This window comes from Homo sapiens, chromosome 4, assembly GCF_000001405.40.
Source record: "Homo sapiens chromosome 4, GRCh38.p14 Primary Assembly".
Lineage (NCBI taxonomy): Eukaryota > Metazoa > Chordata > Mammalia > Primates > Hominidae > Homo > Homo sapiens.
Window position 1 is genome coordinate 87,369,265 of NC_000004.12, and position 25,552 is coordinate 87,394,816.

Consider the following 25,552-nt stretch of genomic DNA (forward strand, 5'->3'; position numbering starts at 1 on the left):
ATATAGAAAGGCATATATATATATGAAAGCTAAAAGTGAGTAGATTTTTGCCCCCTGCACTTTGTAACATTACATCAAATTCCTTCTTATTAGAAATAGTCTAAATTATTCAGATGTCTTGGAGGGCTGAAAAAAATAGTCTGAATTAGTACTTCTTATTCCAAATTCTTTTTTTTTTTTTCTTTTTGTGTTGAGGTCTGTCTTTGTTGCCCAGGCTGGAGTGCAGTGGTGAAATCATGGCTCACTGCTGCCTTCAATTCCTGGGCTCAAGCAATCCTCCCACCTCAGCCTCCTGCGTAGCTGGGACTACAAGCACGCACCACCACACTTAGCTAATTTAAAATATTTTTTGTAGAGATGAGATCTTGCTATGTTACCCAAGCTATTCTTGAACTCCTGAGCTCAAGTGATCCTCCTGCCTTGGCCTCCCAAAGCCTGGGGGATTACAGGTGTCAGCCACCATGCCTGGCCCCAGATTTTTCTTTTAAATAACATTTTGTTACAAGCTAATGTTCAGAACTCAGTTTTACTGAGCGTTCCCATACTGGCAACTTTTCATGCTTATAAATTGGCTATTTGGGTTGACAGAATATATTAGCTAGCTAATTGTTTTCTTTTAAAAATCAAAATACTTGTGAACAAATTACTTAGCAAGCAGCAAAAAACATTTTAGAATAGAATCAAAAGCTTCACCTTCCACCATAAATCCAGTTCTTTTATCTTGCATTCTTCATATTAATCATTAAAACTGTTGAACTAAAACTCTGAAAAGAAATTAAAATTTTTTTCCTAAGATAGGCTACTAGAGCTAGAATAAATTATTTTCTGTGGCTGTAGTAACTCAGGACAATGATAGATGAGGGCTGAATTACAGGGAAAAGGATCAATACTCTTATTTTTCCTCTCATTTCATCCCAAAAACTAGGCGTCAGAGCATATATGATGAATTCCACTGGGGCAAAGCATTCTGGAAGCTAAAATTAGAGGTGGGAACTCCCTGTTTTGTGTGAATAACAGGAAGTGGAATTGAAATGTAATGCCAACAGGCAACCTCCTGTTATTGAACACTTGCAGGATTTCAGATTTTATGCTAAGTGCAATACATTGTATGATTTAAATCTTATAGCATTCTAAATAAGTTAGATATTATTATTATTATTATTATTTTTTGAGACGAAGTCTCTCTCTGTTGCCAGGCTGGAGTGCAGTGGCACAATCTCAGCTCACTGCAACCTCTGCCTCCCAGGTTCAAGCGATTCCCCTGCCTCAGCCTCCCGACTAGCTGGGACTACAGGCACGTACCACACACCCAGCTAATTTTTTTTGTATTTTTTAGTAGAGACAGGGTTTCACCATGTTGGCCAGGATGGTCTCAATCTCTTGACCTCGTGATCCGCTTGCCTCGGCCTCCCAAAGTGCTGGGATTACAGGCGTGAGCCTCCACGCCTGGCCTAGATATTATTATTATTATTATTATTATTATTATTATTATTTTTTTTTTTTTTTGAGACGGAGTCTCGCTCTGTCGCCCAGGCTGGAGTGTAGTGGCGCGATCTCGGCTCACTGCAAGCTCCGCCTCCCGGGTTCACGCCATTCTCCTGCCTCAGCCTCCCGAGTAGCTGGGACTACAGGCGCCCGCTACCACGCCCGGCTAATTTTTTGTATTTTTAGTAGAGACGGGGTTTCACCGTGTTAGCCAGGATGGTCTCGATCTCCTGACCTCGTGATCCGCCCGCCTCGGCCTCCCAAAGTGCTGGGATTACAGGCGTGAGCCACCGCGCCCGGCCTATTATTATTAACCTATTTTACAGATGAGGGAAATGAAGCACAGAGTAGAGTAACTTGCCTAAGGTCACACAGCTGGTGAGTGATTCAGTCAAGATTCATAATGCCATTATAAATGACATTATGTCATTCGTAAATAATATTTTTACTGGAAACAACCCAAATGTTCATAAATAATAGAATGGACAAATAAATTGTTGTCTGGTCACATGATACAACACTATGCAGCCATGAAAATGATCACACTATAGCTACTAACCATAACACGGATAAATCTCACAAATATAGTGTGATTCCATGGACATAAAGATCAAAAATAGGCAAAATTAATCTAAGGTGTTATAAGTCAATATAGTGGTTACCTTTGGGAAGGAAGGAGAGACTGGTGATTGGGAAGGGTTCCAAGAGTGGGTTCTGGGGTCCTGTAATGTTCTATTTTTTTGACCTGCATGGTAGTTAAATGGATGTATCCACTTTGTAGTAACTCATTGAGCTGCACACTTACGACTTCTTCATTCTTATAAATGTATGTCACGTGTCAATAAAAAAGGTTTAAATGTTTAAAAAAGCAGTGTCTCAGTTTAATTGCCCAATTGTTAATAACAATATCTGATAAACACTGCTTTCTGCTGGCAGTAATCTTTAGCACATCTCTGTGAAAGTCCTATCATTGATCAGATGCTGAGCAAAAACCAGAGCTGGCTGAGTTGAAGATAACTGTGGCCAGTAAGGATCACAGACTGTAGTAGTTCAGGCCAGTGATAGCTGAGGATTCTGAAGAGGAGTTCTCTAAGGGCTAGCAAAGCACAGCTCTGTCACGAAGCTGGAAGTGTACAAACCCCTTGTGTGGTTGCAACCCTGCATGTTAGCCCAAATGGCACCCTTGTGTGGTTTCTTAAAAGCCACTTCTCGGCTGGGCGAGGTGGCTTACACCTGTAATCTCAGCACTTTGGTAGGCCGAGGCGGGCGGATCACGAGGTCAGGAGATCGAGACCATCCTGGCTAACACAGTGAAACCCCGTCTCTACTAAAAATACAAAAAAAGTAGCCAGGCGTGGTGGCAGGCACCTGTAGTCCCAGCTATTTGGGAGACTGAGGCAGGAGAATGGCGTGAACCCAGGAGGCGGAGCTTGCAGTGAGCCGAGATTGCGCCACTGCACTCCAGCCTGGGTGACTGAGCCAGACTCCGTCTCAAAAAAAAAAAAAAAAAAAAAAAATCACCCACCTATGCCTAATATTCTCTCTCTCTCACTCTGATTTAATTTCTGCAAAAATTTACCCATTTTTATTAATATTAAAAATTATAAATATTAAATTTGTTACAAATGTTAATAATTAATACTAATTATTGTTCTTGCTTTGTAATTTCTTGCTATTAAAAGAGATGAGAAATGTTTTAAAAGTGGTTGGCTCGTAACTGAATACATTTCCGGCTGCTACCTCTAGCAGGGTCCTCTAGAAGGGGATTAATGATTGATAATGCTGTTAGACAAGAGACTTTGTGCAACTCTTTCTGCTTATTTTTTGACAACTCTCAATAATAAACTGGAAAACTTCAAGTCTCTTATGATTATAAAGAGAGTTCTTATTAGACAGGGTAAGAAATCTCACACACAAGGTAGGCATAAGAACCAATGAAGGAAACACATGTTCACATACCAGTAAGCCAGTAAGAAGGGGACCGAGACATGTCCAGCTGCCGAAGCCACAGTGACAATATGGCCATGGTTATTCTTCGTCATTGCAGGAAGAAATGCCTTTGTAGTCTACAAATAGTTTTTATTAAAAGAGAAAAAATACTGTATTTCAGACTCACAGACCTATTGGGAATATTTTGAAACAAAAGTATATTTTTTAACATTAATCCTGTCATAAATGAAAAAAACAAACTAACTGACAAATGCAGCAACAATAAGGTGACTGGATATGATGCCCACATTAGAAAACCTGAGCAAAACAATGGCTACTGAAAGCTTTGAGAATCCATCTCATTTAAATTGCTAAATTCAGCCAGGTGTGGTGGCTCATGCCTGTAATCCCAGCACTTTGGGAGGCCAACTCGGGCAGATCACTTGAGGTCAGGAGTTCAAGACCAGCCTGGCCAACATGGTGAAACCCCGTCTCTACTAAAAATGCAAAAATTAGCTGGTCATGGTGGCAGGTACCTGTAATCCCAGCTACTGGGGAGGCTGAGGCAGGAGAATCACTTGAACCCGGGAGGCAGAGGTTGCAGTGAGCCAAGATCACGCCACTGTGCTCCAGCCTGGGTGACAGAGTGAGACTGTTTAAAAAAAAAAAATTGCTAAATTTTTATGTTCCCCAGCCCTCCACCTCTTGTTGTTGATGCTTGGGATGAAGAAACAAGTAAGATAATACCCGGCCAAGTGCAGTGGCTCACACCTGTAATCCCAGCACTTTGGGAGGCTGAGGCAGAAGGATCACTCGAACCCAGGAGCTCGAGATCAGCCTGTGCAACATGGCAAAACCTCATCTCCACAAAAAATACAAAAACTTGCTGGGCATGGTGGTGTACTCCTGTAGTCCCTGCTACTAGGGAGGCCAAGGTGGGAAGATCATTTGAGCCCAGGAACCTGAAGCTGCAGTGAGCCAAAATCACGTCACTGCACTCCAGCCTGGGCAACACAGAGACCCTGTCTCCAAACAACAACAAAAAAAGAGACAGTAACCTATATTTGAACAAACACAAAACATAAAGATATATGTCAATAACTTGGGAATATTAGCATAAAATAACACTGCATTTTTATAAACCCCAATATTCTTTTGAGATTAGTCATCCCAAACTCACATCCAAGAAAACTTTGAGGGGCCTTTTTAAGAACTGGCTATTTGGGCAATATTTGGAGACTTCAGAAACACACACGGCATATGTACATATATATAACTTAAGACCTTCAATGGTGAGGTTCACAATAAGGTTTGCAATTTTAGGGCCAGGAAATAACATGAGGCCTGAGCCTCATGCAAATTGAAAGCCAGGGCAGTGGCTCATGCCTGTAATCCCAGCACTTTGGGAGGCTGAGGCAGGCGGATCACTTGAGTCCAGGAGTTCAACACCAGCCTGGGCAACATGGTGAAACCCCATCTCTACTAAAAATACAAAAATTAGCTGGGCATGTTAATGCCTGTAGTCCCAGCTACTTGAGGGGGCTGAGGTGGGAGGATCACTTGAGCCTGGGAAGTTGGGGCTGCAGTGAGATGAGATTGCATCACTGCACTCCAGCCTTGGCAACAGAGTGAGACCCTGTCTAAAAAAGAAAAAAGAGAATCTGAAAGCAAACTGGATTCACCTTTATAAAATCACAGACGATGACTCGGATGGTCCCCAACTCCTTTCTTTATCTCTAAATAGGATCACACAGAAATGTGAGAACCTAGCTTAGAATTAAAACATATACAACACCTGACATTTATTATTAATTTATTATTGTTATTATTAATGTTGTCAGTGAGGAAGAATGATAGAATTTGGTCATAGCATGAAAAATGATCTCTTTGTATAATGTTATCCCTGGTGCCTGGAGAAAACTTTAGCATTGATTTAATACTTCCTTATGTCTGCTAAAAGCCCCACTTTAATCTTTGGGATTTTCAAAAGGAACATTTTTGTAAAAGAAGCCATACTCACCCAGAAATGTGCAAGTACATTAACTTCAAAAGTCTTTTCAATCTGAGGATCTTGTGTAGCAAACAAATCTGATGTATAGACTACACCAGCATTATTTACTAAAATACTAACATCTCCAATTTCTGCCTTCACCTTCAAAAAATAAAATAAGAAAAGTAAATTCATTAAGAGGTATGAGGGTAAGTTTATACACAATGGCTATTTTTTTTTTTTGAGACGGATTCTTGCTCTGTTGCCCAGGCTGCAGTACAGTGGCGAAATCTTGGCTCACTGCAACCTCCACCTCCCGGGTTCAAGAGATTCTCTGGCCTCAGCTTCCCAAGTAGCAGGGACTGAAGGCTCATGCAACCACGCCACACCTGGCTAATTTTTATATTTTTAGTAGAGATTGGATTTCACCATGTTAGCTAGGCTAGTCTTGAACTCCTGATCTCAAGTGATCTGCCCACCTCAGCCTCCCAAAGTGCTGGGATTACAGGCATGAGTCACTGTTCCCGTCTTGTACGCAATGACTCTTGTTTTTCTGCTAGATCTGGATAAAAGTGATTTTGCAATCCATGTGTCAACAGGGGAAAAAAATCCTTTTTATTTTATGCACTTATGTCCAAAATAGATCTATCTTCAAGTGTATCAGGTGGAAATTTTCTTTTGCAATTTAGTCTCTTGACTTAGTTCTATTGACTATAGATCAAGAGGCATTTGGCTAAGTAGCATTTTTTTTAAAACATTACTTCAAAGGGTAAGCAAAAAAAGTTAAATTAGGCTGGGTGCGGTGGCTCACGCCTGTAATCCCAGTATTTTGGGAGGCCGAGGCAGGTGGATCACCTGTGGTCCGGAGTTTGAGACCAGCATGACCAACATGGAGAAACCCTGTCTCTACTAAAAATACAAAATTAGCTGTACATGGTGGCGGGCGCCTATAATCCCAGCTACTCAGGAGGCTGAGGCAGGAGAATCGCTTGAACCCGAGAGGCGGAAGTTGCGGTGAGCTGAGATCGCGCCATCGCACTCCGGCCTGGGCAACAAAAGCAAAACTCCGTCTCAAAAAATAAAAGTAAAACTAATGTGGCAAAATCAGGGACTACTACAGAGAATTGTGGAAAACTGATTACACTATTAAGCTGGCCACATTTTCTATTTATTTCTGTTTATTTTCTGTTCTGTTGTTCAATCGCTCTCCATTAGGTGGCAGTAGGCTTAAGGGTGAAGAGTGGTTTCCTTGGACCTTGAGTTTGGGCTCTGCCAGTCACTGTTGGACCTTGACCAAGTTACTTAACCTCTTAAAACTTCAATTCTTCCTCTGCAAAATAGAGATACTAATACAAGTTCCTTGTGAGTCGTTGTGGAAACAAATGAAATAATGCATGTAAAGGAGCTAACACTGTATCTAGTACACACAGTAAACTGCTATTACTATCATTATAATTATTTCAAAACCATTTATACTTGTCTACAAGTAACATGTTTTAAGATTCTCTTCTTGACCTGCTCAGGTGTCTATGAGGGTACTTAATATACAAATATTGGCCAAATGAGGTGGCTCACGCCTCTAATCCCAGCATTTGGGAGGCCAAGGCAGGCAGATCACTTGAGGTCAGGAATCGGAGACCAGCCTGACCCACATGGTGAAACCCCATCTCTACTAAAAATACAAAAATTAGTGGGGCATGGTGGTGTACGCCTGTAATCCCAGCTACTCGAGAGGCTGAGGCAGGAGAATCGCTTGAACCCAGGAGGCGGAGGTTGCAGTGAGCTGAGATCGTGCCACTGTGCTGCAGCCTGGGTGACAGACGAGATTTCATCTCAAAAAAAAAAAAAAAAAAACCCAAAAAACAAACAAAAAACCCCCAAAATATAGAAATATGAGGTAAATAATATTAAAATACATATGTGTGTTTTTCTAATATATATGCATGGTATGTGTGTTTTCTCTTGAAAATTCTATTTTGGTATTGATCCAGAAGGAAGAACATTTGAGAAATAAAATGGTTATGTGGAAGGGCTTATGTAAACCCTTATGGCCAGATTTCAAAGGTTGTTGCAGCTATCATTGGTGAAATGATTTCAGTTGAGGAAATATAAACAAAAGAACAAGGCTAGCTGCTAAGAGCAATAGAAGGCATCCACTGGACTGTAAAGACTATTTGTAGGCTGGGCACGGTGGCTCACATCTATATTCCCAGCACTTTGGGAGGCCAAGGTGGGTGGATCACTTGAGGCCAGGAGTTCAAGACCAGCCTGATTGACATGGTGAAACTGCATCTCTATTGAAAACACAAAAATTAGGTGAGTGTGGTGGTGGGTTCCTGTAGTCCCAGCTACTCGGAAGGTTGAACTGGGAGGATTGCTTGCACCTGGGAGGTGGAGGTTGCAGTGAGCTGAGATTGCACCATTGCACGCCCGCCTGGGTGACAGAGCAAGACTCTGTCTCAAAAAGAAAGAAAAATATTTTTAAAAAAAGACTATTTGTAGGCCGGGCACAGTGGCTCACACCTGTAATCCCAGCACTTTGGGAGGCTGAGGCAGGTGGATCATGAGGTCAGGAGTTCAAGACCAGCCTGACCAACATGGTGAAACCCAGTCTCTACTAAAAGTACAAAAATTAGCTAGGCGTGGTGACGTGCACCTGTAATCCCAGCTGCTCAGGAGGCTGAGGCAGGAGAATCGCCTGAACCCGGGAGGCGGAGGTTGCAGTGAGCTGAGATTGCGCCACTGTGCTCTAGCCTGAGCGACAGAGCGAGACTCTGTCTCAAAAAAAAAAAAGACTATACTCAAAAGGGGACCATTACAGGTAATGTAACTTTTTTTCAAAATAATTGTTATATCTTCTGGACTAGAATATAATCAATAACTATCTCTTCAACTAAGAAAGATCATAGAATCTTGATGCTTAAGCCCTACTTTTTATAAGATTGGAGTACCATAATTCCAAGGGGTAGCAATGCAAAAATACCTTATATGAGATTTTTATGGTTCCATAAGCAACTAAGATGCTTGGGCGGATAGACCCTAGCGTCCTAATGCATTTTGTTATACACTGTGTTTCAAATGAAACCTAGCTCTATTAACAGAGTTATCATTATTTAGAGATAGTGCTACAGTGTGTTGGGGGACTGAGGGAAAAGTGGCAAATAGCCTATGAGGGGCTTTTACTTTGTTATGCATTTACATGATTTCATTATTTTTCTTATTGAATTCTCACAGTAACTCAATGAGACAGCAATTCTTATATGCTCACTTTAAAGATGAAAACATGAAACAGAATGGTTGAGTTTCATACCCAAGGTCACATGGCTATTAAAAGATGGAGCTGGGACTCTCCCAGATCTGTCTGACGTCAGAGCCCAAGACAAGCCACCCCAAACAGAAAGGAGGCCATGGGCAAAAGTCTACCAGTACTCCTGTAGGGCATCAATCTGCCATGCTGAAGGCTCTTCAGTCAGAATTGAATTTCATCAGATTATATTTACGTTAGTAAAGTGTCAAGCTAAGTTTTTTGACCCTGATCAACACCATTTATACCTATATACTATTTTATATTACCAAAGGATTTTCCCAGACACTCTTGACCCTTTCTTCATCATTGCCTATTACCTCCCCAGGATATGAATGTCTGTTTTGTATTTTTTTGTATTAATTTTGTTTTTAAATTTTTGTGGGTACATAGTAGTGTATATATTCAAGGTTACATGAGACATTTTGATACAGGCATGCAGTGCATAATTATCACATCAGGGTAAATCAGGTATCCATCCCCTCAAGCATTTACCCTTTGTGTTACAAACAATCCAATTATACTTTTAGTTATTTTAAAATGTACAATTAAATTACTATTATTAATCATTTTTACTAACAAAAAATTCTTTATGGCTGCTCCTTGCAGAGCAGGGCTAACTCACAGGCAGTGCAACCAGAGTAGCCTATTTGTTCTAATTTTTGGTACCCATTAACCATCCCTACTTCTTCCCTACACCACCTCTACCCTTCCCAGCCTCTGGTAACCATCCTTCTACTCTCTATCTCCAAGAGTTCGATTATTTTAATTTTTAGCTCTCTCAAATAAGAGAGAATATGTTTTGCGTGTATATATATATGATTTTATATATATATATAAATATAAAATATATATATAAATATATATATATAAATATATATATAAATATATATAAATATATATATATAAATATATATATATAAATATATATAAATATATATATATAAATATATATAAATATATATATATATATATTTATATATATATATTTTTTTTTTTTTTTGAGATGGTGTCTTGCTCTGTTGTCCAGGCTGGGGTGCAGTGGCATGATCTCAGCTCACTACAACCTCCGCCTCCCAGGTTCAAGTGATTCTCTCACCTCAACCTCCCAAGTAGCTGGGATTACAGGCACCTGCCATCATGCCCAGCTAATTTTTGCATTTTTATAGAGACAGGGTTTCATCATATTGGCCAGGCTGGTCTTGAACTCCTGACTTCAGGTGACCATGTTGCCCAGGCTGATCTCGAACTCCTGAGCTCAGGGGATCCACCCACCTCGGCCTCCCAAAGTGCTGGGATTCTAGGCATAAGCCACGCTCCAGCAGATATATTTCTATAAAGCATTATTTGCCTCTTCTAGATACAATTGAGATGTGCTGTATATAATGGGGTTTCACTCTGAACGCATTCTTGCTTGTACCTAACTAACTACCTTAATGTCAACAAGGTCATCAGAATTACTTGGGCAGATTCCTGGATATATATATAATATTTATATTGTTATATTTATATTATATAATATATATTATATATACATATATAATATGTACATATATACATATACAGCATTATATACATATACATCTACATATACATCTCATATATACATACACAGCATTATATACAGCACAACTCATATATACATATATGTATTATATTACACATATTATATGTATATGTATGTATATTATATATTAATAGTATAATATAGTATTAGTATACTATACTATTATATTAGTATATAATAATAGTATATACTATTATTAGTATACTATAGTATAATATAGTATAACAGTATAATATAGTAATAGTATATTATAGTATAATATACTATAGTATTATAGTATTAATAGTATATGTATTATACTATTATATATGTATATGTATATGTATTATACTATTAATTATTATTATACAGCACATCTCATATATACATATTATATTATATATTTATATATACTATATAAGTATATAATATTTATCAGCCTGTATATATATATTACAGGTATCTGCCTGTAATCCCAGCTACTCGAGAGGCTGAGGCAGGAAGATTGCTTGAACCCAGGAGGCGGAGGTTGCAGTGAGCCAAGATCACGCCACTACACTCCAGCCTGGGTAACAGAGCAAGACTCTGTCTCAAAAAAAAAAAACGTTCTGATACTAAAATGATACTAAAATGGCCACCTCAAAACAGCTACTTCAAAATATCTGATTCTCAGCTTGCTTTCATTATTAAGAAATATACAAATCCCAGCACTTTGGGAGGCCAAGGCAGGCGGATCGCGAGGTCAGGAGATCGAGACCATCCTGGCTAACATGGTGAAAGCCCGTCTCTACTAAAAATACAAAAATTAGCCATGCGTGGTGGCGGGCATCTGTAATCCCAGCTACTCGAGAGGCTGAGGCAGGAGAACTGCTTGAACCCAGGAGGCGGAGGTTGCAGTAAGCCAAGATCACACCACTACACTGCAGCCTGGGCAACAGAGCAAGACTGTCTCAAAAAAAAAAAAAAAAAAGAAAAAAGAAAAGAAAAGAGAAAAAGAAAAAAAGTTCTGATACTAAAATGGCCACCTCAAAATAGCTACTTCAAAATATCTGATAATGGGCTAGGCGCGGTGGCTCACGCCTGTAATCCCAGCACTTTTGGAGGCCGAGGGAGCAGATCACGAGGTCAGGAGATACAGACCATCCTGGCTAACACGGTGAAATCCCGTCTCTACTAAAAATACAAAAAAATTAGCCAAGCGTGGTGACGGGCGCCTGTAATCCCAGCTACTCCGGAGGCTGAGGCAGGAGAATGGGGTGAACCCGGGAGGCGGAGCTTGCAGTGAGCCGAGATCGCACCACTGCACTCCAGCCTGGGCGACAAAGCTAGAGCTAGACTCTATCTCAAAAAAAAAAAAAAAAAAAAAAAAAAAAGAACTCAGGCCAGGTGTGGTGGCTCACGCGTGTAATCCCAGCACTTTGGGAGGCCAAGGAGGGTGGATCACTTGAGGTCAGGAGTTCCAGACCAGACCACCCTGGCCAACATAGTGAAACCCCATCTCTACAAAAACACAAAAATTAGCCCGGCATGATGGTGCGTGCCTGTAATCACAGCTACTAGGGAGGCTGAGGCAGGAGAATCGCTTGTGAACCCGGGAGGTGGAGCTTGCAGTGAGCTGAGATCACGCCACTGCACTCCAGCCTGGGCGACAGAGTGAGACTCCATTTCAAAAAAAAAAAAAAAAAAAAAGAACTCAAACCAAAAATTCCATAAACAAAGAGGTTCTCAAGTCTTGCTGAATCACACTTTTTATACTGCACTGAATTAGAATATCCAGGGGTAAGGTCCAGGAATGTGTATTTTAAGGAATCTGCCCAGGTAATTCTGATGACCTTGCTGCCATTAAGGTATTTAGTTAACAGGTACAAGCGAGAATGCGTTCAGAGTGAAACCCCATTATATACAGCACATCTCAATTGTATCTAGAAGAGGCAAATAATGCTTTATAGAAATAGATCTGCTGGGAGCGTGGCTCATGCCTATAATCCCAGGACTTTGGGAGGCTGAGGTGGGTGGATCCCCTGAGCTCAGGAGTTCGAGATCAGCCTGGGCAACATGGTGAGACCCCGTTTTCTACCAAAAATACAAAAAATTAGCTGGCGTGGTGGCACACACCTGTGGTCCCAGCTACTTGGGAGGCTGAGGTGGGAGGATTGCTTGATTCTGGGAGGTGGAGGTTGCAATGAATCGAGATCATGCCACTGCACTCCAACCTGGGTAACAGAGTGAGACCCCCCATCTCAAAAAAAAAAAAAAAAGAGAAAAGAAAAGAAATAGATCTATCTACAATAAAAACCTGATAAAGAATAGCTTTATTGTAACTTTCTAACCCAATTCTATGAATGGGCTTCAGAAGACCCTGTCAGCAATTCTGCAAGTGTCATCCAGGCATAGTTACCTATATGAGCATCATGGGTGAGATGAAGGCGCATGGGAGGCAGGGTGGATGTATTTGAGGCCCTGCCTTCAACCTACTGAAAGAAAATCTCTGGAAGTGGAGCCCAAGAGTATATATATACATTTTTAACAACTCCCTGGAAAATTCCAGAACATACTAATATTTGAGAGGTTCAGTTCTCGGTTCTAGTTTTGGGTTTGCTATGAGCTAGTTCTATAACCTTGGTCAAATAACAACATTTCTCAGGTACTTCATCTATATCATGTACAGACTGGGTCATCTCCAAAACACCTCCTAGCTCTAACATGATATGATTCTAACTAAACACAACATTTCACCTTCTTTGCAGAGCTGTAAATATCTTCTCGGTTGCTGCAGTCTACCACAAAGGTATGAACCTTGGCACCCAGTCCCTTGCATTTGGCAGCTGTTTCCTCCAGTCCATGCTAGAAAAAGCAAAAAAGAGGGCAAGGTAATAATTGATATGAACATATTATATCGACAGCTGAAAATAATTAAAAATAATTTTTAAAAAGTAGTGAGATTCTTTCCATTTGAATTGGGCAAGATTGTTAACAACACATTTTTGGCAGGTATATAGGCACATTTTGCTTTTAGTATTTTGACTAGCTTCTTTTATTTGGAGCTGAATTTAAAGCAAGCTTCTTAAAAGAAGATAAAAATCTTAAAATACTAGTTTTTATATTTATGAACTTTGAATACTTTGTGAATGTTGGTATCTCTGTGTATTCCATATCAGGCTTTAAAAAATGTAACATTAAACTTTTTTCCATGTCATTAAAAACTATTCATGGATGTCAGTTTACTGTCTGCAAAAGAAATAATGAGTTAACCACAGTTCATTAAACCATTTGTTCTTTCAGCATTTTAATGTGAAGGTCATATTCACTGAGCTTAGAAAAACCTTGACACAAATATGAATGAGGTAGAGTCCCGACCCCAAGAAGTTCTCTGTGTAGTAGAAAGAAACATAAGTATCATAGTTAAGTAGGACCACGTAATACTGTTATTGTTTTGATAATAAAAGATTGAATATTGGCAGTTTCAACCTAATACATTGTGATGAGTATCACAGCAGAGTTCTATACAGGGAGTTACGGGAACACAGAGGGGCACACAATACAATTCCAGCAGTGGTTTGCCATGCCCTTTCACTTGCTTTCCCCAGGGTGAAAGGACACATCAGGCAGGGTGTGGGCAATGACAGATAGGAGATTGGTCTTGTGGAAACCACTAGTAGGATTAGTGTTGTTGGATGGATCATAAAGGTCAAGGCCAGAAGAAGTTCAGATTAAGGTCCCACATGTCATATTAAGATTTATCAAAAAATGAATGAGGAGCCACTGATTAAATTATAGTGTCAGGTTTATGTGTCGTATTGATTATTTTGGCTGATGTATGGAGGGTGGATTTTAGGGGTCAACACTGGAGGAAGAAAAAAACTGAGAGGCAGTTACAGTGATTCAGGTAATAGATGACACAAACTTGAAATGTGGCATTAGTAGAAAAAATGTAGAGGAAAGAATATCCTTTAAAATATATGTTTAGAAGGTAAAATCAGTAAGACTTGGTGAGTAGATGAGGAAGGATGGGAAGGAGCCACATCTGACATCTTTGCTTTCTAGTTTTGGTAGCTGGCAAGATCACGCTGCCACATGTCAGACAGAGATGACAGCAGATTTGAGGAAAAGGGGTTATGAGTCCAATTTGGGGCGCCAATTTTGAGTCAACTTAAGTTTAGGATCATACCATTGGGGTTTTTTGTTGTTGTTGTTATCTTTGCTTGTTTGCTTTTGGCCAATTTTTGCCTTTTTTTTTTTTTAACTTTTAAGAGAATGTCTCAAAAGATATTTTGGATGAAGATCTAGTATTGTGCATTCTGCAGGCCAAGTATTAGGTTGTTGGAAAAGTAATTGCTGTTTTTGCCATTAGTTTAATGACAAAAACTGCAATTACTTTTGCATCAACCTAATAATTGTCAACTAATGCACTAATGGGCAGACCCTAGGAGGACTCATACATTTATCCACAGAGAGGATGGTGAATCAGTGTACACATTTGTAAATGGCAACTAATGTTGGAAAGGCCAAATCTGGACAGCTGTGGGGAGAATTAGTAGCTTGCATAGTGAAACTGTTATGATAATAAAGGGAAACAAGTTCTTTTTCTCCTGTGGGAAGTCAGGGACCCCGAATGGAGGGACCGGCTGGAGCCGCGGCAAAGAACATAAATTGTGAAGATTTCATTTTAATATGGACATTTATCAGTGCCCAAATAATACTTTTATAATTTCTTATGCCTGTAATCTCTTAATCCTGTTATCTTCATAAGCTGAGGATGTACGTCACCTCAGGACCACTGTGATAATTGTGTTAACTGTACAAATTGATTGTAAAACATGTGTGTTTGAACAATATGAAATCAGTGCACCTTGAAAAAGAACAGAATAACAGTGATTTTTAGGGAACAAGGGAAGACAACCATAAGGTCTGACTGCCTGTGGGGTCGGGCAAAAAAGAGCCATATTTTTCTTCTTGCAGACAGCCTATAAACGGATGTGCAAGTAGGAGAGATATTGCTAAATTCTTTTCCTAGCAAGGAATATTAACATTAATACCTTGGGAAAGGAATGCATTCCTACGGGGAGGTCTATAAATGGCTGCTCTGGGAATGTCCGTCCTATGTGGTTGAGGTAAGGACTGAGATACGCCCTGGTCTCCTGCAGTACTATCAGGCTTATTAGGGTGGGGAAAAACTTTGCCCTGGTAAATCTGTGGTCAGACCGGTTCTCTGCTCTCGAACCCTGTTTTCTGTTGTTTAAGATGTTTATCAAGACAATATGTGCACCACTGAACATAGACCCTTATCAGTAGTTCTGCTTTTTGCCCTTTGAAGCATGTGATCTTTGTACCTACTCCCTGTTCTTACACCCCCACCCCTTTTGAAACTCTTAATAAAAACTTGCTGGTTTTGAGGCTCAGGGGCATCATGATACGTGATGTCACCCCCAGCGGCCCAGTTGTAAAATTTCTCTTTATACTGTCTCTCTTTATTTCTCAGCCGGCTGACACTTATGGAAAATAGAAAGAAGCTACATTGAAATATTGGGGGCAGGTTCCCACAATATTTTTCTTTTACTGAAATCTCCCTCACAAACTGTAGTATACTCTCATGAGGAACTCTTATTCCTCAAGGGACATCAACATCTCAGGTAAACTTTATTTTGCTCTCCTATACTTAACCAGCAGCTTTTGGCATTTCCTTTTACAAGTATATTAATGTTGTATACACATAGGATAGAATATTATTCAGCCTTAAAAAGAAATGAATTTCTGACACATGCTACACGTACAACCTTCATTATGCCAAATGAAATAAGCCAGACACAAAAAACAAATACCATATGAATGTACTTATATGCAGTACCCAGAGTATCATATTCATAGAGACAGAAAATAGAATGGTTGTTGCCAGGACCTGGGGAGAGAGAGGGCTGGGGAGATATATTGTTTTAATGGGTACAGATTTTCATCTTGGGAAGATGAAAAATTTCTGGAGAGAAATAGAAGAGATCACTGCATAATAAGGTAAATGTACTTAATGCCACTAAACTGTACACTCAGAAATGGTTAAAATGGTGTGTTATGTCATATATTTTACCATATTTTAAAAAGTTTTTTAAAAGTATATTGTATTGGCCAGGTGCGGTGGCTTACACCTGTAATCCCAGCACTTTGGGAGGCTGAGGTGGGCAGATCACAAGGTCAGGATTCTGGGAATAGCCTGGCCAATATAGTGAAACCCTGCCTCTACTAAAAATATAAAAAATTAGCTGGGTGTGGTGGTGGGCACCTGTAATCCTAGCTACTTGGGAGGCTGAGGCAGGAGAATCACTTGAATCCGGGAGGCAGAGGTTGCAGCAAGCCAAGATTTTGCCACCGCACACCAGTCCGGGCAACAGTGCGAGACTCTATCTCAAAAAAAAAAAAAAAAGTATATTGTATTGATTGGGTCTTCTCTTTTTTGAACAAATATATTTCCTTACATGAACAAATTTTACAATAAAAATTTATGTCCCATTTATTCTGTTTTCAGAGATTTGCTTATTACTGGTTGGCTTTCTGTAACCACCAAGCAACTAACCACCACTCCACTATATGGATGCAAAGATACCCTTCTTTCACATCCGCTGTCTCACTTTTGCCCTGTTTCCTTGGTCTTCCTCATTTAGGTTGGTCTGCTTTCCACACCTTCTGAATTGTGAAACTTTTTTTTTTTTTTCTGAGATGGAGTCTCGCTCTGTCACCCAGCCTGGAGTGCAATGGTGCAATCTTAGCTCACTGTAGCCTCTGCCTTCCCGGTTCAAGTGATTCTCCTGCCTCAGCCTCCCTAGTAGCTGGGATTACAGGCATGCGCCACCACACCCGTCTAATTTTTATATTTTTAGGAGAAACGGGGTTTCACCATGTTGCCCAGGCTGGCCTTGAACCCCTGGCCTCAAGTGATCCTCCCATCTCGGCCTCCCAAAGTGCTGGGATTACAGGGGTGAGCCACTGCACCCGGCCGGTGCAACAAATTTAAGTTCTAAATTCCTCCAGAAAAAATTCCGGACAGTGCCCTGTAGATAGTTGGTAAGAAATAAAAAATAAGCAGATCTTCAAAAAAAAAATGAATTCTTCCTTTAAAATGTTTTGCAGCACAGTACAATTGCTCATAACTCTTCAAGATTTCCCTTGGTAACTTTTTTCAAATATGTTTGTCTATTGGTACAACTAAGACCTTTACACCCATTACCTTGATTACTAAAAATTGAAAAACTTTTTAAATTATGCCCATTATTCTTTCAGTTATTCATTAATTCAGTTTTTCATTCAACAAATAGTCTTTGAGCATATATTATATGCTCACCACTTACTGTAAATTTTTCTTTCCAAACTAGTATTTTAGGAAAAAGGGTCTCCCTGTTGCGCAGGTTGAGTGCAGTGGCTATTCACAGGCATGATCCCACTACTGAACAGCACCAGAGCTCTGACCTGTTCCGTTTCCAACCTGGCTGGTTCACCCCTCCTTAGACAACTTGGTCTCCTTCATGCCCACCGCCAGAAGGTACCATATTGATTCTGAACTTATGCAGACATGCAGAGCGCACCACAGTCCAGAACTCCCGGCCTCAAGCAATCTTGCTGCTTCAGCCTCCTGAGTAGCTGGGGCTACTGAAGCATGCCACCATGCCTGGCTACAAACTATTCTAACCAAGCATGGGAATGAGAATAGTCAAGAAGTGATAGATTATCACAAAGCAGAATGAATAATTCCCATTATCAGGCTTAGTGGAACAACAAAGCTGACACCACCATTAATTCTTCCCTAAATTAACATATGGTACATGTGGACACTGCTGTCCTCATTACATGGATGAATCTAAGAGATTGTCTTTGTACTCTAGGTGAAAGGGCCCTCCGTTTGGCCCCTCCCTGCCCTGCCAGCTAGATCTCATAACAATCAAACACCACTCCACTTTCTTCCTCATTCTCCAGGTATTCACCAGCCCAAGAGCTTCACATCTCCAGTTTCTGCTACCTGGACTGCTCCAAATCCCCACCCTGTCCTTTCCCAATCAGGTTTAGTGGTTCTCAGCCTTCTATAATTTCAAATCTATAAAACGGCAAGAAAAATAGAGTGGGATGTGTATACCGAACTAGGATTGCCAAACTTTTGGCCAAATAAGGACACTCAAAACTAACAAAATGACCCTCATATGTTATCATGTAATTTCATTAACAAATATATTTTTTACCCACAAAAAGTAGGAAGGATATAATCTCAAAATAAAATATAGATTATTTAAATTAAACTAATTTAACCTAATAAAAACTCACTACATTGTCCTCAATTTTTCTGACCATTACTCCGAATCTCTGCTACTGCCAACCCGGTTCAATAGTCCCCATCATTTCATCTCATGCCTGGATTATCACAGTAGTCTCTTACTTTACTTGTTCCTTCCATCTTTTCTCCTCTTACATCTCTCCTAAGCCCAGCAGCTGGAGGATCCTCTTCAATAGGAATTACCCTCAAAACCCTTCATTGACTCCCCAGAGTAAAAAGCCAAAATACAGGAAATTTTATCATCTGTAGCTCCAGCCCTTTAAATCTCTACACCGGTACTGTCTCATAGAAATATAACGCAAGCCATGTATATAATTTTAATCTTTCTAGTAGTCACACCAAAAAAAAAAAAAACAATCTAGTGGCATATTTTATTTAACCCAACATATCTAAGTAATTATCATTTCAACATGTATACTATATAAAAATTATTAACACAAAATTCTACATTCTTTTCTTCATACTAAGTCTGCAAAATCCAGCATGTATTTCCACTCACAGTGCATCTCAAATCAGACTGGCCACATTTTGAAAGGCTCAAGAGCCACAAGAGGCTAGGGGCTACTACCTACCACTGTGTTGCACAGAGTAGATCTAGACCTTTCTTGTGCTTCTCTCCCTTCCCTCAGTCTATGCCAGGCTTTGCATTTGCTGATCCCTCCCTGCAGGACTCACTGTGCTCTCAGCTTCTTCTGATATTGATTCAATTATCTCCATCTCAGTGGGGCCTTCCTGGCCACCACTGTAAAGTCAACACTCCCCTCCTACCCTCCCCACCATATAGAGTCTTTTATCTACTTTCACCTTTTATTTTTTTCTTTATGCTTAACACCATCTAACAATTATACATTTTATTATACAGTGTGGCATACTGCCCCTAGCTCATGAGGCTCATGTCTTCCTCAGTGCTATATCCTCAGTTCTGCATTAGAACAGTGCCTAACAGATAATAGGTGCTCAATAAATATTTGTTGGATAAATGCATGTCACTGAAGATCAGAGAAAATTTTGTACAAACCAGCACTGGACATTGGAAGTCATTAACCTAACTAACTCTTACATACATTTAAATTTTAGCTTAAACCACACTTTGTCAAGGAATAATAAGAACACTGCAGTGTGTTTACCTTATACCACACTGTGCTAAATGCTTTGTATGCATTATCTCATATCATACTGACAGCTTTTTGAGGTATGTATTGTTATTTTATCCATTTTGCAGAAAAGGAACTAAAGCTGTGGAAACGTTGAGTAAGTTACCCAATCAGAAAACGAAAGCTCAGATGTGTCTGACTATATCACCATGCCAGACCTTGACCATGCTGGTCCAGGCTGGACCTGGGTTGTATTTTTCATTGCTCTTGTAATTACTTTTTTATTTATTAATTTAATTTAATTAATTTATTTATTTTTAAGACAGAGTTTTGCTCTTGTTGCCCAAGCTGGAATGCAATGGCATGATCTCGGCTCACTGCAACCTCTGCCTCCCAGGTTCAAGCAGTTCTCCTGCCTCAGCCTCATGAGTAGCTGGGATTACAAGTACACGCCACCACGCTCAACTAATTTTTTGTATTTTTGGTAGAAATGGGGTTTCACCATGTTAGCCAGGCTGGTCTTGAACTCCTGACCTCAGGTCATCTGCCCGCCTCGGCCTCCAAAAGTGCTGGGATTACAAGTGTGAGCCACCGCATCCAGCCTGCACTTGTAATTACTTAATGTCCATTTTCCCTACTAGACTGAGGTCATGGAACCTTATTTTCTGTTTGTCACCCTATCCCTAATGTCTAAGCAGCAGACAGTCATTATTTGTTGATTGCTGTCTTCATCAGCCACTCACTGGGTTAACCCTCATTTAACTTCACATCCTTTGAATTATTGTTTACAGCATTGCATGTCAACTAGTGTGTAATGGATAATGTTTCAGGCCATCAGGTATCTTCTAGAAACCCCTTTGTTCATCTACCAAAGGTCAAATAAAAGGTTGGATTCTAGGTCCTCTTCTCCTCCCTAAGCCACACCTACACTTGTCCTAGGTAAAAAATTACACTGAAAGTTTTTTTCCCTTTTATTGTTTTTACTAAAAGATGCTTTCCCGCCACTCCTTCAGTATCACAGGTCAAACGTGGTAAAAAATGTTTTTTAAAAAAATTTGAGACAGGGTCTCACTCTGTCACCCAGGCTGGAGTGCAGTGGGGCGTTTACAGCTCACTGCAGTCTCCACCTCCCAGGCTCAAGCAACCCCCCACCTCAGCCTCCCGGAAAAGATGCTTTTTAAAATTACTCTTGGCAATAACTATGGCAATGTAGCATTGGTTTCTGTTGAGTATAATCTTTTTGTTTGTTTTTTGAGACGGAGTCTAGCTCTGTCGCCCAGGCTGAAGTGCAGTGGCGCCATCTTGGCTCACTGCAACCTCCGCCCCGCGGGGTTCCCGCCATTCTCCTGCCTCAGCCTCCCCAATAGCTGGGACTACAGACGCCCGCCACCACGCCCGGCTAATTTTTTTTTGGTATTTTTAGTAGAGACGGGGTTTCAGTGTGTTAGGATGGTCTCGATCTCCTGACCTCGCGATCCGCCTGCCTTGGACTCCCAAAGTGCTGGGATTACAGGCGTGAGCCAACGGCGAGTATAATCTTTCAAACCACTTTTCTCATTAACAGTAAGTAGGACTTTCTCTTAATAGGTACAAGCTTCTTACTCTTTTAATATATAGCTAAAACGATTGTTTTTTCCCTATTTTTAAAATAGAGGGATCAATGAAATCAGGTTCAGGAAAAAATTATGAGTTATCCTTAGGGCAAAAATGGGGATCAATTTACAAATGGGGCAGTAACTGGGACTATTATAACCTCTAGGTCTGTTTATCATGTGATCATACAACATATTAATTCATGCCCTCCCATCTGCAAAATGGCAATACTAATTTTTTTTTCCTCCCTGCTTTGCAGAGATGAGGTAAAGGGTGGTTGCCAGCAAAATGCAGACACATCCACAAATTAAAGGTACCAGAAAGTAAAACATAGTAAACACTGTTACCTTATTTATATCCCAGAGAACCAGCTTGCTTTTAAGTTTAGCAAATTCATAGGCAGTCAGTCTCCCAATTCCATGCCCAGCTCCTGTAATCAGCACGATTTCGCCGGTGACTGATTTTCTCCTCTTAGGAATAAAAAGCTTCACGAAGGACTCTAGGGAGCAGACGATCAGTAACGGGAGAAGCAGGAGGATGTCCAGAAGAAATTTCATCCCTTTTGTGGCTGCGAGCGTTTGGTGTGTTTTTTTTTTTTTTTACCACTCTAAACTGCTTTTAGAGGGTAGCTCGATCTAACACCAGAAAGAGTAGGGGCGAGAGCAAGGAGGAACTCCCGTATCAAAGAAAAACAACTCCGAAACCGTTCCTTCCGCTGGGCTGGGCTTTGTTGGTCTTTCGCAATTGGCTCGGGCTGCAGTGCTTGCTAGCTCAGAGATCTGGGAGGGACGAAGTCCAGACCGGAGCAAAGCTTCCTAGTTCTGCTTTGCGCAGCCCCCACGCGGTGTGTGGCCGCGATTGTCTTTTACACCACTTTCTCCCGGTGTCGTGAGCCGGCCTTGGAGGGTTAGTTGCTCACTTGTTTTCCTAAATTGGATAAGTTCCAAGGATAACCGACAGTGTCCACAGGCCAGATGCTTCTTTCATAGTTGAAGGTTGCTTATCACTAGATAGGGGGTGCCGCTGGGCGCGGCGGCTCTCGCCTGTGATCCTGGCACTTTGAGAAGCCCTGGCGGGAGGATCGCTTGACCCCAGGAGTTCGAGATCAGCCTGAACAACATAGGGAGACCCCCGGTCTCTTTTTTTTTTTTTTTAATTAGCCAGGCGTAGTGGCGTGTGCCTGTAGTTCCAGCTACTCGAGAGACTGAGGCACGGGAATTGCTTGAGTCCAGGAGGTGGAGGCTACAGTGAGTGAAGATCGCGCCACTGCACTCCAGCCTGGACGAAAAGGCCAGACTTTGTCCTAAAAAACAAAAACTAGATAGAGGATGCAAATGTAGATTCCTATCTTAAAGGATCCTGAAAAGACCAATCGTTCTGCTTCCAGCTGAGAAATTGCGCTACATCACATTTTAGTTTGAACTAAGCACGATTTCTGGAAGACAGGGGAAATTTTGTCTGTTCAAGGACAGCTTCAATCAAGCGCCAGAAAAAATTGTTATCGTATTAAAGGGATTGTTTCCACAAGAAAGAAGAGTATATTTGAATAATCATTTTTCACTTGACCTATTAGAGTTTGAAAATAAAAAATATATGTTGTACTTTAGGAATTTTATCTTTATTCAAGTGAATAAATAGCAAATCATTTAGCCTAAAGATTACCTATGTAACATTTGGTTTTGTAGCCTATATAAATGGGTATTCAGTATATGCTAACTAGTGACTTGAAAAAATTCTAGAGATTGGTTACTGGAAGAAAAGACCTAACTAGGGCTTGTGTCCAGTAAGAGCTTAATAATGGTATTGCATGCATTTTTTTCCAACTCATTTTTGACAGACATTGGATTTGGGTTTTGCGCAAGACACTCCAGTGCTTGGGAAGGGACTTTGTTGTGTGACAATAGTCAACTTTCATATTTAAGAGCCAGAAAGATCACACAAAAAAATCAAAGTTCACAAATAGTTCAAACTCGATTGTCCCTCTTACTTAAGCAGCCATACGTTGTTATAGGGGATGAAGGGATAGTGGCAGCCTCACAAAAGTGAACCCCATTATAGAATTCTTTGAATTCAGAATATCTACAACTTTTTTTTGGATAGCCTCCAAATCCAAATTTACAAAACACTTGTATAGAAAGTTTACAAAGTGTTCTTCCACATATATTATTTCATTTGATTTTCAAAAGCCTCCTAGGAAATAGAGAAAAGTAGAGTCAGGATATATTTATACCTATACTGTAAATGAATAAATCTGTTAGATCAACTTTAAAATCTACACAGTGAGTAAAAGTGTAACTGGGGCTACACATATGTTCAGTGTTTGTCAATTTTTTGGTCCAACACCTACAGGAATAAATTACATCTGACATGGTGATCTACTATAAGAAGTGTTTCAACTATGTTGAGTTTCATATATTGAGGCTCTAGCTATGCTATTTTTTTTTTTTTTAAAGGAGTCTCCCTCTGTCTCCAGGCTGGAGTGCAGTGGCGAAATCTTGGCTCACAGCAACCTCAACCTCCACCTCCCAGGTTCAAGCGATTCTCCTGCCTCAGCCTCCCAAGTAGCTGGGACTACAGGCACGCACCACCACACCCAGCTAATTTTTGTATTTTTAGTAGACAGGGTTTCCCCATGTTGGCTAGGATGGTCTCAATCTCGATCTCCTGTTCCACCCACCTTGGTCTTCCCAAGTGCTGGGATTACAGGCGTGAGCCATGGCACACGGTCTGGCTATGCTATTTCTTATTCCATTCTATTAATTAAAAAAAACTGGGTAGTTTTAACCTACAGTTGATCAAGGTTTCATTGGTTAAGGGAAAGAACACAGCATTTGGACGCAGTCGTACCTGAATCCCTTATGTGTATGTGACTTCATCTCTCTAAACATGTTTCTAAATTTGTAAAATTGAAATAATACTTACCCTACAGGATTCTTGTGACGTTCAAACGAGTTAATAGAAAGCACATTGCTTTATCAACTATTCAACTTTATGTAAATTATAATTAACACCAATAGAATGTGAGTGATGTGAATGGTCTTGTGAATGATGGTTGTAACATGATTTTGTGAACAGCAAACTAGATGTTTACAATTAAAATCATTCACAGTTAGAACACAGATTAGCTTCTATCTGACCACTATGTGATTTTATGTATTTGTGGTTTTAAAAAACATCTTTCATTGGTAGGGTTTAAAATATTTTGTACTTGGGACATCTGTTTTTTAAAAAATTTTTTATCTATTTATTTTGAGACCGGATTATGAGACTAGCTAATTTTTGTATTTTTGATAGAGGCAGGGTGTCCCTACCCTGGTAGAGGCTGGTCTTGAACTCCTGGGCTCAACCAATTCACCGGCCTTGGCCTCCCAAAGTGCTAGGATTACAAGTGCGAGCCACTGCACCCAGCCTATGTGGGGCATCTTAATTACATGCTGCCTTCCCAGAAGTTGAAATAGTATTTAAAAAAAAAAAAAAAAGATAAGGATAAGGGGGTATTTTTCTTTAATTTTTTTTTTTAAACCCTAACTTGAACCAGAAGAATAGGGGTCTTTCATCAGTGTCTTGAACACTTACTTACTATGGCCAGGCATATGCTTCTTCTGGAGCTTCCTCACCTCTCTCAGCCCTCACCTAACACATTTCATTTTATCTTCTCAATAACCTTAAGCAGTAGGTTCAATAGAAATCTCTATTATATGAATGAAGAAATAAAGAATTAAGAGAAACTAAGCAAACCACTTGAGATCATAGTATAAATGTAGAGTTGAATTTAAACCTAGGCTGTCGTCACCGGCTTTTTTTTTTTTAAACTGGGAGTCCCAGCCAGAGCAATTAGCTGCCTTCTTCCCTAACGCAAAAAAGAAAAGTGAATCCAGTTCTGAACCATTAGATAAATTCGAAAAGATCAAAACTCCTGATTTTGAATCACAACATTAATAACACTTCCCTTTCATACAATTAGGTAAATATCTAATTAGCAGGGAATAGATTGCAGCTGCTAAAAGAATGCGTTCGAATTCCTACCAAGCTTTTAATGAGCCGTGTGATATTTGGTTAATTACTTAACCTCTCCTGAGTTCTCAGTTACCTCATCTGTAAAATGGATGTAATAGCAGCTTGGTTGCCGTGAAGAGTAAATGACATATATACAAAGCACAGAGTCATTCATAAGAGTAAAAAGCACAAGAGTAAATGAGATATATATAAAAGCACATCTTGCATACAAACATACTTAGTGAATGACAGCCATTACTATATGTTAATCAGTTATAGTAAGACGCCTGTATTTGCAAGGCTGTCT

At 40.1% G+C, this 25,552-nt stretch overlaps 1 protein-coding gene and 1 pseudogene across 2 annotated transcripts in view, besides 2 other annotated features; both read right to left on the reverse strand.

Annotated features, from left to right (window-relative positions):
- HSD17B11 (hydroxysteroid 17-beta dehydrogenase 11) overlaps positions 1-21,924 on the reverse strand; it is a 54,674-nt gene extending 32,750 nt beyond the window's left edge. Inside the window, exons 1-4 of one of the 2 annotated variants that reach the window (NM_016245.5) lie at positions 21,597-21,924; positions 12,991-13,098; positions 5,435-5,566; positions 3,445-3,551 (exon numbers count right to left, since the gene is read on the reverse strand). In NM_016245.5, coding sequence (NP_057329.3) covers positions 3,445-3,551; positions 5,435-5,566; positions 12,991-13,098; positions 21,597-21,806 — 557 coding nt within the window. In that variant the 5' untranslated portion in view covers positions 21,807-21,924. Of the gene's footprint in view, positions 1-3,444; positions 3,552-5,129; positions 5,151-5,434; positions 5,567-12,990; positions 13,099-21,596 lie in introns of those variants that run through there. The other variant, XM_011532021.2, reaches the window with a different exon arrangement.
- Positions 17,619-17,910, reverse strand: RN7SL681P (RNA, 7SL, cytoplasmic 681, pseudogene; annotated as a pseudogene).
- Positions 22,136-22,205: an enhancer, noted in NCBI's record as "active region_21706". NCBI's record gives its function as "activates an Ori minimal core promoter by ATAC-STARR-seq in GM12878 lymphoblastoid cells {active_cell/tissue: GM12878}" and the evidence as "EXISTENCE:reporter gene assay evidence [ECO:0000049][PMID:35858748]".
- Positions 22,219-22,791: an enhancer, noted in NCBI's record as "H3K27ac hESC enhancer chr4:88312635-88313207 (GRCh37/hg19 assembly coordinates)". NCBI's record gives its function as "activates a minimal SCP1, AML or CMV promoter by ChIP-STARR-seq in primed H9 embryonic stem cells {active_cell/tissue: H9 hESC(primed)}" and the evidence as "EXISTENCE:reporter gene assay evidence [ECO:0000049][PMID:30033119]".